This window comes from Homo sapiens, chromosome 14, assembly GCF_000001405.40.
Source record: "Homo sapiens chromosome 14, GRCh38.p14 Primary Assembly".
Taxonomy (NCBI): domain Eukaryota; kingdom Metazoa; phylum Chordata; class Mammalia; order Primates; family Hominidae; genus Homo; species Homo sapiens.
In genome coordinates this window covers 73,008,329-73,022,860 of record NC_000014.9, presented here as the reverse complement: position 1 = coordinate 73,022,860, position 14,532 = coordinate 73,008,329, and the positions used below count along the sequence as shown (strand labels likewise).

At 44.8% G+C, this 14,532-nt stretch overlaps 1 protein-coding gene across 4 annotated transcripts in view; it reads left to right on the top strand.

Annotated features, from left to right (window-relative positions):
• ZFYVE1 (zinc finger FYVE-type containing 1) overlaps nt 1-14,532 on the top strand; it is a 57,662-nt gene that overhangs the window by 4,246 nt on the left and 38,884 nt on the right. The window contains exons 1-2 of one of the 4 annotated variants that reach the window (XM_047431482.1): nt 4,795-4,801; nt 9,914-9,918. The exons of the other annotated variants lie outside the window; for them this stretch is intronic. The gene's annotated coding sequence lies outside the window, so the exon portion shown is untranslated. Of the gene's footprint in view, nt 1-4,794; nt 4,802-9,913; nt 9,919-14,532 lie in introns of those variants that run through there. 4 annotated transcript variants of the gene reach the window in all.

Below are 14,532 nucleotides of genomic sequence, written 5' to 3'. Positions count from 1 at the left end.
TGATCAGTAAAAGCCAGTGAGGGGCATCTGGGAGTACAGAATGACTAGGGGATATTTGGCTTGAGTCTGAGTTGGGGAGATGGTAGTGTTGTGACAGCTAGGTGAGATTGGGGAAGGGGTAGTATAATGTTTATACTTTTGAATGAAGGTAGTGTAATGTCTATACTTTTCTTTTGAGTGGGCTTTCAAGTGAAGTTTGCTTGAATTCACATACTTGTTTACCAATCACTATATAGCCAAGGGTAAGTGATAAAAATCCTTTCCATTCCTAATCTTTTTGAGTCCTATCAACAATCCTGTGAAGTACCAGTGAAACTGAGGCACAGCTTAAATGATTTTTATCACAGTCTGGCACATAGTATCCAGTACCAGTTTGTTGTAGTCAGTATCACTGGAGTATCTGTGGTCCACTGACTCAGTACTTTTGATGGTGGTGACTCCTTAGGTTTCCAGTTTGGAGGGGAGTACCTATGTAAGTTACCATTTGAGAGGCTGCCTAATTACCCACCTAATATTTTTCTTCTGTACTTTTTTCCTTCTTGGATAAAGCTGATGGAAATGAGTTACATCATGATTCCTGTATACTTCCATTGTCATGTTAATACTTTGCTAACACAGATTTTCTTTATTGGTTTGAGAGGATCGAATAGAGTTATGGAAGAGTGACCTAGATCCCATTCCATGTCCCTTGTCAGCGATAATGTCTTTGTTATGGATTACGCTGTAATTGGGCGACATTGTGGACTGAATCTTTTATAAATGGAACACTTGGATTTTGGGTGATTCTTGATGGTTTTGCTCAGTTCTCTGTAATGTCAGCTTTTGGAAAGTCATAGTTTGGTTGTTGCCACTTTTGTCAAATGAGGGGAAGCTTTGGGATGAACTAGTAACCCTCATGGATTGCATTGGCACCTTTAAAAAGAATGTTTTTTTGGGGAGGAGAATGTGTATTTTTTTTTCTTTTTGTAGCATTGATATGTGTTCCTTAGTTGAGAATTAAGAGCATATAAAGAAGTGTAATGAAGAAGATAAATCTAACTACCCAGAGATGATATTGGTCCTTCATCTTTTTTTTTCTTGAATGTAATATGTATATAATTGGATTGTTTGTAAAGATTCTTCCCACATTTCCTCCATTCATAAACATTAACCACGTCCTAGGAAATAACAGTTTATTAACTGCAAGCAGCATTTTTGGGACTGATGGTTTAGACATAGAATTCATTGATTTTAGGTGATTTGTTCTCATAGAGTCATAAATGGAGAAATACTTAAAATATCTAGTTCAGTTTTCTGATAGTGAATGTTCAAAACAATTAGATGATTGACATAAATCTAGGTTATAAATTCAGCTAGATTGTGAACTGGAGAGCAGGACCATGTTTCATGGCCTATGCCATGTACAGTGGTAAACACATTGTCAGTGCATAAATACTTACGGATTGGTGTTGTCACATCTCAACTTCAGTTATTTATTTATTTATTTATTTATTTATTTATTTATTTTTATTTTGAGACAGAGTCTCACTCTGTCCCCCAGGCTGGAGTGCAGTGGCACAATCTTGCCTCACTGCAACCTCCGTCTCCCAGGTTCAAGCGATTCTCCTGCCTCAGCCTCCTGAGTAGCTGGAACTACCGGCACACACCACCATGCCTGGCTAATTTTTGTGTTTGTTTTAGTAGAGATGGGGTTTCTCTATGTTGGTCAGGCTGGTCTTGAACTCCTGACCTCAAGTTATCCGCCCGCCTCAGCCTCCCAAGATGCTGGGATTACAGGCGTGAGTGACTGTGCCCAGCCAACTTCAGTTTTTAAAAAATGGATATCAAGGCCAGACATGGTGGCTCATACCTGTAATCCCAGCACTTTGGGAGGCCCAGGCAGGTAGATCACCTGAGGTCAGGAGTTCTAGAGCAGCCGGGCCAACATGGTCAAACCCTGTCTCTAATGAAAATAAAAAAAGTAGCTAGGCATGGTGGCTCACGCCTATAATCCCAGTACCTGGGATTACAGGCACCTGCCACCACGCCCTGCTAATTTTTGTGTTTTCAGTAGGGACCTGGTTTTGCATGTTGGCTAGGATGATCTCCAACTCCTGACCTAATTGATTCTCCTACCCTGGCTTCCCAAAGTGCTGGGATTACAGGCTGAGCCGCCGTGCCTGGCTCCTGCTCTTTTTTCTTAAAGCAGTCACCATTAACAATGAACTGCGACCGGGCGCGATGGCTCACGCCTGTAATCACATCACTTTGGGAGGCTGAGGGAGGTGGATCACGAGGTCAGGAGCTCGAGACCAGTCTGGCCAACATGGTGAAACTCCATCTCTACTAAAAATACAAAAAATTAGCCTGGTGTGGTGGTGTGCACCTGTAATCCCAGCTACTCAGGAGGCTGAGGCAGGAGAATCGCATGAACCCGGGAAGTGGAGGTTGCAGTGAGCTGAGATCACACCATTGCACTCCAGCCTGGGTGACAGTGCGAGACTCTGTCTGAAAAAACAAAGAAACAAAGAAACAAACAAAAAACAGTGAACTGCATGCCTTTCTAGAATTTTTTCATGTATACTTATCCTTTCCTTTCCTTTCCTTTTTTTTTTTTTTTTTGAGATGGAGTCTCACTCTGTCACCCAGCAGGTGCTGGAGTGTGATGGCACAATCTTGGCTCACTGCAATCTCTGCCTCCTGGGTTCGAGCAATCCTTCTGCCTTAGCTTCCCAAGTAGATGGGACTACAGGTGTGTGCCACCATGCCCAGCTAATTTTTGTATTTTTCGTAGAGATGGAGTTTCACCATATTGACCAGGATGGTCTTGATCTCTTGACCTCGTGACCTGCCCGCCTTGGCCTCCCAAAGTGCTAGGATTACAGATGTGAGCCACTGCGCCCGACATAAATTTTCTTTTTCTTTTTTTTTGAGACTGAGTCTCACTCTGTTGCCCCGGCTGGAGTGCCGTGGTGTGATCTCGGCTCACTGCAACCTCCGTCTCCTGGGTTCAAGTGATTCTCCTGCGTCAGCCTCCCGAGTAGCTGTGATTGTAGGCACCACCACCACGCCTGGCTAATTTTTGTATTTTTAGTAGAGACGGGGTTTCACCTTGTTGGTCAGGCTGGTCTCGAACTCCTGACCTCATGATCCACCTGCCTTGGCCTCCCAAAGTGCTGGGATTACAGGCGTGAGCCACTGCGCCTGGCCTCGGCCTAAACTTTATAATTAAACTTCATTGTGGCCAAAAGCACCAGCTCACCAATTCTTTATGGCTGCTGTGAGAATCCGATGAACCATAGCTCTGTATAAATGTATTATTTATCATTATCAAAGTGTTATTGATGAACTTCCTAATAGCAGTAAAGTGTCTATCAGTTAGGTTCTGATTTTGTTTTTCTTTTCATGTTTCTAGGCATTTGTGGGTTTTGAGCATTTTCAATTTAGTACATAGGGATTTTTTTTTTAGATGGGGTCTTGCTGTGTTGCCCAGGCTGGCGTTGAATTCCTGGGCTCAAGCAATCCTTCCACTTACAGCCTCCCAAGTAGCTGAGACTACAGGTATGCACCACTGTGCCCGGCCCATAGATAGAGGTTATTTTAGCACCTGTAGGCTGTAACCCTTGTGTGTGGTCTCCTCAAATTCTATGGCCTAGAGTCTCCTAAGATTTTTGTGTATGATTTGAGTACTACTCAGTTTCTTTTAGAAAATGTAAAAGGACTAAAAGCTTCCTTTAAGGGTGAACATTTTATCATTACCTTGTCATTTGAGTGTGTACTATAGTGGTAAATTTGAGAAGAGACTGACTGTTGGTCTCAGAAGTAGAAAGTCACCTGTGGCTCCTAAATGGACACATTCGACCTGCTAGCCAAAGACATCCATTAATTCATCACATTTTTGGCGCATATATTATGTGCCAGGAACTTTTTTTTTTTTTTTTTGAGATGGAGTCTCTGTCACCCAGGCTGGAGTTCAGTGGCACGATCTTGGCTCACTACAACCTCCGCCTCCTGGGTTCAAGCAATTGTTCTGCCTCAGCCTCCTGAGTAGCTGGGATTACAGGTGCGCGCCACCACGCCTGGCTAGTTTTTTTGTATTTTTAGTAGAGATGGGGTTTCCCCATGTTGGTCACGCTGGTCTTGAACTCGTGACCTCATGATCTGCCCACCTTGGCCTCCCAAAGTGATGGGATTACAGGCATGAGCCACTGCGCCCAGCCGTGCCAGGCACTTTCTGTGTTCTGGGGATACATGGTTAATAAGACATGGTCCATTCCTTCATAGAGCTTACTATTCAAGTGGGGAAAGCAGATTTCACACATGTAAACACCTAAATAGTTGGTTCAGCTGTAGTGAGTATTATTAAGAAGAGTGATTTGGAAGCCTCTTTGGCAGGATGGTCAGAGAAGGTCTTATTGTAGAGGTGCCTTTTTTTTTTTTTTTTTTTTTTTGAGATGGAGTCTTGCTCTGTCGCCTAGGCTGGAGCGCAGTGGCGCAATCTCACCTCACTGCAACCTCCGCCTCCCGGGTTCAAGCGATTCTCCTTCCTCCGCCTCCCAAGTAGGTGGGATTACAGGCACCCATCAACACACCCGACTAATCTTTGTATTTTTAGTAGAGATGGGGTTTTACTATGTTGGCCAGGCTAGTCTTGGACTCCAGACCTCAGGTGATCTGCCCACCTCAGCCTCCCAAAGTGCTGGGATTATAGGCATGAGCCACTGCCCCCAGCTTGCAGAGGTGATTTTTAAGCAGAGACCTTATGGGTAATACTAATGTGCTATGTAGGCCTCCAGATAGAGGGAATGGGAAGAAAATGAAGGTTGGATGGCATGTTCGAGGCTAGAAAGAATGCCAGTGTGGCTGGAGTGAGCTGGCAGAGAATGGTAAGGGAAGAGGTGCAGAGGGAAGCAGGTGCCAATGCATGGGAGGCCGTGCAGGCTGTAGAAGTAAGTGGATTTTATTTTAAGGGTGATGGGAGACACCAGACTGCTTTATGCTAAGAAGTCACAGGACCTGATAGAAGCTATAGTGACCTGATAGAGACTGATGTATAGACTAGATGGTAGTGACTGTAGAGGGACAAGAAGGAAGGCAGGGAGACCACTTAGGAGGCTGTTGCAGAGGGTGGGGAAAGAAGTGGTGTAGATTTGGTGTTACTGAGATGGGGAAATGGAGAGACATTGATGAATTTTGGACAAAGTTTGTAGGTAAAGTAGGAGTGCTGATATGTTGGATGGAGGAGTGAGGGAGTAGGAGAACTCAGTGGTGACTTGTAGGCATTTGGTTTGTACAAATAACACTTGCTTATTTAAGACACCAGGTTTTATTGTGTGAAATTGATAAAACTAAGTCTTTAAGAACCTGATTAGTACAAAAAAGAGAGATAAATTAGTCCCATTTGTATTATCTAACACAGTGGTTGTCAATCAGGAGCGATTTTGCTCCCTCAAGGGACATTGGCAATGATTGGAGACATCTTTGGTTGTCACAACTGAGCTTTTGGGGGAGCATGCTGCTGGATAGTGCATAGAGGCCAGGGTGCTACTTAAAACCACAGGCAGGACATAGGGCAGCCCCGACAGAAGGAGTTATCTGGTGGTATAAAAGGTCAGTAGTGCTGACACTAAGAAAGTGATCGATCTGACAGATGAAGGTTTAGTCTAACAGGACATCTGGACACTAGTGAAGTGGAAAATATATCAGGGACAAAAAAATTGAACCAAACATCAGTTTTTCCTTCATCTTTTTTTTTCTTTTGAGACAGGGCCTTACTATGATGGCCATGCTGGTTTCCACCTCCTGGGCTCATGTGATCCTCCTGTGGCCTCCCAAACTGCTGGGATTACTGTACCTGGCCTTTTCCCTCCTTCTTTTAGTTCTGTTTGCTCCTCAAGTAATTTAGCTGGTGAACTCAGCATTCTCTTTTGACATATTTTGTAACCTCTCTAGTGAGATGGTAAGACTTTCTGAGTTGTATTCATTGATCTTTTTTTTTCTTCTTTGGGAACTGGAGTTTTGCTCTTGTTGCTCAGGCTGGAGTGCAGTGGCACAATCTTGGTTCACTGCAGCCTCTGACTCCTGGGTTCAAGTGATTCTCCTGCCTCAGCCTCCTGAGTAGCTGGGATTACAGGTGCCCGCCACCACACCTGGCTAATTTTTAGTAGAGACGAGGTTTCACCATTTTGGGCAGGCTGATCTTGAACTCCTGACCTCAGGTGATCCACCAGCCTCGGCCTCCCAAAGTGCTGGGATTACAGGCATGAGCCACTGCATCTGGCCGTATTCATTGATTTTTCTAGGCCTCGGTGGAACTGTACTAGGAAAACCAAAGGACTTACAGATCCTTTATTTATTTATTTATTTATTTGAGACGGAATCTTGCACTGTTGCCCAGGCTGGAGTGCAGTGGCACGATCTCAAGCTCACTACAAGCTCCACCTCCTGGGTTCACGCCATTCTCTTGCCTCAGCCTCCTGAGTAGCTGGGACTATAGGCGCCCGCCACCACGCCTGGCTAATTTTTTGTACTTTTAGTAGAGACGGGGTTTCACCGTGTTATCCAGGATGGTCTTGATCACCTGACCTTGTGATCCGCCTGCCTTGGCCTCCCAAAGTGATGGGATTACAGGCGTGAACACCGTGCCCGGCCCAGATCCATTATTTAGAGGTCATAATAAATAAATGATTCATGCTGACGAGTCATCTATAATCTCTTGAAGCCAGAGGCAACACCTTAGCAAATAAGTTAAAGGTCAGAAGAATAAGATTTCTGGTAGTTAGAGTTCTTAGTGGGGGAAGAGGATAGAATTTTCCCATCTCTTGGGTCTTGTATGGGAGTCAGACATCTTGTTGTATTAGAATGTTAACCTGTCAGGAGAAGAAAGGTGAAACAGTAAAAGGCATTTGTTTTTCTTCGTTCTTGTGTTTTTATTTTTTATTTATTTATTTATTTTTGAGATGGAGTCTTGCTCTGTTGCCAGGCTGGAGGGCAGTGGCGCGATCTCAGCTCACTGCAATCTCCACCTCTTGGGTACAGGCGTGAGCCACCGTGCCCAACAAGACTGCTTCTTTAAGAAGACCCATCGTGTGGCTTGGCGGCCTCACTTGTTTACAGTCCCAGAATAGTGTTGCTCAGAATACTGGGACTTGACTAAAAGAGATGTTATTCTAGTGGAGTTCAGGAATGGAAAATAGCAGGCCGGGCGTGGTGGCTCACGCCTGTAATCCCAGCGCTTTGGGAGGCTGAGGCGGGCGGATCACTTGAGGTCAGGAATTCGAGAGCAGCCTGGCTAACATGGCAAAACCCCGTGTCTACTAAAAATACAGAAATCAGCTGGGCAGGCACCTGTAGTCCCAGCTACTCAGGAGGCTGAGGCAGGAGAATTGCATGAACCCAGGGGGTGGAGGTTTCCTCTGCTATTTCCTCCCTCCCTTCCTTTCTTTCTTTCTTCCTTCCTTCCCCTTCCTTCCCCCCCCTTCCTTCCCCTCTTCCTTCCCCCCTTCCTTCCCCTCTTCCTTTCCCCCTTCCTTCCCCTTTCCTTCCCCCCTTTCCTTCCCCCTTCCCTCCCTCCCTCCCTCCCTTCTTTCCTTCCTTCCTTCCTTCCTTCCTTCCTTCCTTCCTTCCTTCCTTCCTTCCTTCCTTCCTTCCTTCAGATGGAGTCTCACTCTGTCACCCAGCTGGAGTGCAGTGGCACCATCTTGACTCACTGCAACCTCTGCTTCCCGGGTTCGTGCAATTCTCCTGCCTCAGCCTCCTGAGTAGCTGGGACTATAGGCGCCTGCCACCATGCCTGACTGATTTTTGTATTTTTAGTAGAGACGGGGTTTCACCATGTTGACCAGGCTGGTCTCAAACTCCAGACCTCAAGTGATCTGCCTCAGCCTCCCAAAGTGCTGGGATTACAGGCATGAGCCACTGCACCCGGCCCTGTATGGGAATTCTTTACCACAAACTGGGTGTACTGGTCTGCCACATGTCTGTGCCACTTCTATTTCAGGCTTGTCTGCTGTTCATTTTCTTGGCCCTGTTCTTGGCTTTCTGGTCTAGGGTAGCTTCATGGGGCTTGTTCTTTCCAGCTCCTCTTGTTTGAGATTAGCTGGTAGATAACATAACAGAAGGAAATCCTTCAGGACTTCATTCTGGTCAGTAGATCATGAGCCAGAGGGATCATAATCTTTCAAATTGTTGAATTTTCCCATTTTTCTCTTCCAATGGCCAGAGTATTATAATGTAAGGACTAATTTTGGTGCAGTAGCTGGTTAGCCCTTTGGCAAGTTCTGGTCAGAATATGAATATATCTATTATTGGTTTCTTAGGTGTCATATAAATATAACAAAAAAATAGATCTTCGTAGGAGCTGTCAAAATAATAACCAATAGTTGGGTTGGTAGTAGGGCCTCCTCCTCCATCATTGCCTTTAACACAAAGAAACTCAAGTAAAAGCCCCTTTTGTTTAGTGATATTGGTAGAGGGGAAGGCATTATATGGTGTTTACTGGGAAACACAGGGTTGAGGATGACTCAGACCAAAAGAAAGATGAAAGAAACCCTATTATGTGCCTTCAGTTTCTGCCCAGTGTCTTGTGAGCTTTTTCAGCCTGGGGATCATTCAGTTACAACAGACTCCTGGCATTTAACTTGGTACGCTATTTTGTTTTAGTACAAGGATGTTTCAAATTTGACCCATGTAAGCCATCGAAACCACTGTGAGTCAGCTTTCTAGAGAACCTGTCTTTAACTACTTTAAGACACCTTCAGTTTGCATGATTCTCTTTTTTCTTCTGGCCTGTCAATTCCTTGAAGTGATTGATTTTTCTGGAATTGAGCAGGCATTTGGCTTTTTGAGCCAGGATTAACATAATAGACATATTTCTTATTAATTTGACCTTCAGTGTTTTCCTGTGGGTGCATCTACTGGCTGAACCACCCTTGAGTTTATCCAGGAGATTATATAGGCAGATGCACTTCTGATGGCTGGTCAGACTTTTCTGGGGAGTCTTCCCTACTTCGGGAGGAGCTCTCATGAGATCATTTCTATCTGAGGTTAGAACTGCTAAATGTATCGAACACATTTGCTTGATGGGAAATCGGAGAAAAGATGTGGGGAGACCATGAAGAAGGGAAGAAAAACAAGGGTAAAGAAGTTTCAGGCAAGGGGAGTTGGAAAGACGTATGGAAAGAGACGCAGAGGAGCTTTTGAAGGTGGGGAAGGGTGGATACTTCCCTGGAGAATATTTTGTTCATTTTCCCCTTCTTTTCTTGTTTTTTTCTTTTTTTTTTTGAGATGGAGTTTCGCTCTTGTCACCCAGGCTGGAGTGCAGTGGCGCAATCTCGGCTTACTACAACCTGGGTTCAAGCGATTCACCTGCCTCAGCCTCCGAAGTAGCTGGGATTACAGGCACCTGCCACCATGCCCGGCTAATTTTTGCATTTTTAGTGGAGACGGGGTTTCATCATGTTGGCCAGGCTGGTCTTGGACTCTTGATCTCAGGTGATTTGTGCACCTTGGCCTCCCAAAGTGCTGGGATTACAGGCGTGAGCCACTGCACCTGGCCCATTTTGCCCCTCTTCTCAATGGCTTTTGGCTAGCATTGAAGAGCCTCTGTTGACTGGTTTATATGGTCAGCTTGGTCATAGCTGGAGTTCTTGGGGCAGAGAAGTTTTCCAGCCATACATAAGTAGCTGACCTCTGGCTTGACTTCACTGGAGGATAATTGGACTTCCAGGTAGCTTCTAGAATTTTCGGTCCCTTCCTGATTTCCTTCTACTTGAGACTAGGTTATTGCTGTCTTCCCCAGGAAATTTGACCCTAGATGTTAGAATACTTGAAAAGAACTGTCAGAGCCTGGTTCTGGCATGAAGTTACAGACCCTCAGGTTCAAGTGAAGGGGCAGCATGATCCTGAGCAATCCAGAATTCAAAGAGTATCCTAGAAATTCCTCTACTTTCTAGCTCAATCCCTTCTGTCTCATGAATATGTTATCTACACAGCTAAACTGTCATCTCTCATAATTTTTTCTTTCAAAGCGTTCAATATAGTTTATGTGTATCATTCTACAGCAGTCATAAATATTTATTGAATTGTCAATTGCATGCTTTCTGAGTTTCGGTAATATCTCTGAAAAAATGATTTAAAGTGAAAACTCAGATTAAATGACACTAGGGAGGAATGGCAGAGGCCTTCATTCTCTGGAATGAAGCTCTCTTTTCTGTTTTTCTGAGTAGAGGCTTTTCAAGGATCCCACAGTTCTTTTTTTTTGAGACGAAATCTCCCTCTGTTGCCCAGGCTGGAGTGCAGTGGCACTATCTCAGCTCACTGCAACCTCCGCCTCCTGGGTTCAAGCAATTCTCCTGTCTCAGCCTCCCAAGTAGCTGGGACTACAGGCACACACCACTACGTCCAGCTAATTTTGTTATTTTTAGTAAAGACAGGGTTTCATGACATTAGTCAGGCTGGTCTCGAACTCCTGACCTCAGGTGATCCACCCGCCTCAGCCTCCCAAAGTGTTGGGTTTACAAGCATGAGGCACCGTACCTGGCCCCTTGGTTCTTTTTGCATCCCCATTCTGGCCTGGTGACTCATGGGTTTAGTTTGTAATTGGTAGGTCATTGGGTGCACTATAATTTTTTTCCTTATGTCTCAGTTAACTGTTACCTACATCTGTGATATTTGACAGACAACCTATCTACCTCTTCCCCTTTTCCTTTCTTTCTCTCCCTACCTTTCCCTTTGCTTCTCCCCAACCCTCCACTTGTTTCATGAATTAAGAAATTAAATCAGTGGGATTCAGGCATGAACCACAGTGTCCAGCTATTTTTTAATTTTTAATAGAGATGGGGTCTTGCTATGTTGCCCAGGCTGGTCTCAAAGTCCTGGCCTCACATGATCCTTCTGCCTCGGCCTCCCAAAGAGCTGGGATTACAGGCGTGAGCCACCACACTGGGCCATATCATTCTTTTGAAGAAGATTGAATGTTTTCTTATGCATTTTATATATATATATATGTATGCAATCTTATTATAGGTTTCTTTTTTTTTTTCTCTTAAAACAATGTTTTAGGCCAGACATGGTGGCTCACGCCTGTAATCCCAGCACTTTGGGAGGCAGAGGCAGGTGGATCACCTGAAGTTAGGAGTTTGAGACCAGCCTGGCCAACATGGCAAAACCCCATTTCTACTAAAAATACAAAAAAATTAGCCTGGCATGGTGGTAGGCGCCTGTAATCCCAGCTACATGGAAGGCTGAGGCACTAGAATCGCTTGAACCTGGGAGGTGGAAGTTGCAGTGAGCCAAGATCATGCCACTGCACTGCAGCCTGGGCGACAGAGCAAGACTCCATCTCAAAAATAAAAATAAAATAAAATAAAATAAAAATAAAACAAAACAATCTTTTGAGAAGGGGTCTCACTCTGTTGCCCAGGCTGGAGTGCAGTGGTGTGATCTCAGCTCCCTGCAACCTCCGCCTCCCTGGCTCAAGCCGTCCTTCCACCTCAGCCTCCTGAGTAGCTGAGACTACAGGCATGTGCCACCACTCCCGGTTAATTTTTTGTATTGTTAGTAGAGATGGGGTTTTGTCATGTTGCCCATTCTGGTCTCGAACCTCCTGGCCTCGAGTGATCTACTCGCCTAGGCCTCCTAAAGGGCTGGGATTACAGGTGTGAGCCACCTCCCCAGCCATATGGGTTTCTTTCTTTCTTTTTTTTTTTTTGAGACAGTGAGCTTTTAATTTTTTTAAAGGCTATTTCCAAAAACATTCAGAGGACTTGAAAGGGATTAAGTTGGTCATAAGTTACTCATGATTCAAGTGAATCTTATAGTATTCTAATTCATTTAACTTAAAACCTTGGTTTTTCTTTTTCTTTTAAGCTTTGGTTTTTGTTCCTTTGTAAAATGAATTTATAGTAGTATCTATACGTTATTGGGGTTGGGGATTGAGAAAAACATATGTAAAATCCTTCATGCAGTATCCACGTAACACACAGTAAGCATTTAAATCTATATTGACATAATTTGTTATTTAAGGATTTTCAATGAAATGTAAGAGTCCAACCCTGACTCTATAATTTTTTTTTTTGTTTTGTGTGTGGTTTTTTTTTTTTTTTTTTTTTTTTAGATGGAGTCTTGCTCTGTCACCCAGGCTGGAGTGCAGTGGCACAATCTCAGCTCACTGCAACCTCCACCTCCCCGGTTCAAGCGATTCTCCTGCCTCAACCTCCAGAGTAGCTGGGATCACAAGCGCGTGCCACCATGCCTGGCTAATTTTTTGCATTTTTTTTTTTGAGACGGAGTTTCACTCTTGTTGCCCAGGCTGGAGTGCAATGGTGCGATCTCAGCTCACTGCATCCTTTGCCTCCCGGTTCAAGTGATTCTCCTGCCTCAGCCTCCTGAGTAGCTGGGATTACAAGCATGTGCCACCACAGCCAGCTAATTTTGTATTTTTAGTAGAGAAGGGGTTTCTCCACGTTGGTCAGGCTGGTCTCGAACTCCCGACCTCAGGTGATCTGCCTGCCTTGGCCTCCCAAAGTGCTGGGATTACAGGCATGAGCCACTGCACCTGGCCAATTTTTTGTATTTTTAGTAGAGACAGGGTTTCACCATGATGGCCAGCCTAGTCTCAAACTCCTGACCTCAGGTGATCCTCCCACCTCTGGCCTCCAAAAGTTCTGGGATTACAGGTGTGACCCACTGTGCCAGCCTAGGTTTCTTTTTAATTCAAAAGATACATCCTTTTGAGGGAAGGAGTGTTAAGTATTGAATAAGGATCCTGCTTGTTCAATTATCCCTATTTCTCTGTTTTTTTTGAGACATGTTGCTCTGTTGCCTAGGCTGGAGTGCAGTGGCACCATCATAACTCAAGCAATCCTCCCACATCAGCCTCCCAGGTAGCTGGAACTACAGGCATGTACCACCATGCCCAGCTAACTGATTGATTTTTGTAGAGATGAGGTCTCATGATATTGCCCAGGCTGGTCTCTAATTCCTGGACTCAAGTAGTGCTCCGGTCTCAGCCTCCCGAACTGCTGGGATTAAAGGCATGAGCCACTATGCTCGGCCTATCCTTATTCCCTTAATGAAGCATTTATTGGAAACCTTCCCAAAGGAGAGTTTTGTTTTGTTTCGTTTTGAGATGGAGTCTCACTCTGTTGCCCAGGCAGGAGTGCAGTGGTGCAATCTCCATTCACTGCAACCTCTGCTTCCTGGGTTCAAGTGATTCTCCTGCCTCAGCCTCCTGAGTAGCTGGGATTACAGGCACGTGCCACCACGCCCACCTAATTTTTGTATTTTTAGTCGAGATGGGGGTTTCACCATGTTGGTCAGGCTGGTCTCGAACTCCTGACCTTGTGATCCTCCCGCCTCGGCCTCCCATAGTGCTGAGATTACAGGCGTGAGCCTCCGCGCCCAGCCTCCCTAAGGAGAGCTTTTACTTGGGATAATGAAATTTCCAGCTGATGGTGATGACTCTGGCTTGGGGCAAAGCAGCAATGATGTCAGTCAGCATGCCTCTAGCATTTACTACAAGTTATTCTGGGCCTCCACTGTGCTAAGTGCCTGATGTACATCATCTTATTTAATTTTTGCAGAAATCCTATGAAGTAGATTGTGTTGTTATCTTCATTTTAGAGGTGAATAACAGAGCCCCAGAGGGGTTGAATAAAGTTATCCTAAAGTCAGTGGATGATAGAGTGAGGTTGGTTGAACCTTTAATGGTGATACTATACCATTCCCTCCCCCAGAGGATATAGCGTCTAGACATTTTGTGCTGTGTTCATTCATTTATTGATCAATTGTGTCTTGATTTCCTATTTTGCGTCAGGCACTGTGCTAAGGTTACGGTAGTGAACAACACAGACCATATCTCTGCCAGCCTGGAGTACATTCTAGTTGGGGTGTTTAGCGCTGGAAGAGTGGGAAAATGTTAACAGAGGTGGTGGGTGGGAATGGAGGCTTTGAGCAAGAGAAGGGTTGAGTCAGTTGCCCAGGGTATGATTTAAACCTAACTCTCTTTTCTAGCCTGGTTTGTGTAGCTTAGCTTTTACTGTTAAGTCCTTTCTTAGCCCTCAGAATCATTCCAGAATGAAAGACCATTCTGCTTACTGACAGGCCTTTACTGGAGCTTACATCTGTTTTCACAGCTGGCCAAATATGGATATGCTATGCCACTTAAAAAGGCAGCTGCATCTCCCATCCAGAAGCTCCTCAGAAAGTTCCCTTGAGGATGAGGTGGGGCTTGGGGATGACTCGGTATTTCCAGTGTGTCCTCAGAATTCATCTTTGCCTTGGAAAGCTTTTTATTCAGATATAAATGGATTGCTGAACTGGGTGTGTTGGATGTGGTCAAAGAAACTGATCAGGGAGCTAAAAATGACTTTTTTTAAAAAAAGAATTTTTGTGGACCATCTCTGCATAGAAACACTTTTATTAGGCCAGGCATGGTGGCTTACGCCTGTAATCCCAGCACTTTGGGAGGCTGAGACGGACGGATCACTGAGGTCAGGAGTTCGAGACCAGCCTGACCAACATGGAGAAACCCCGTCTCTACTAAAAATACAA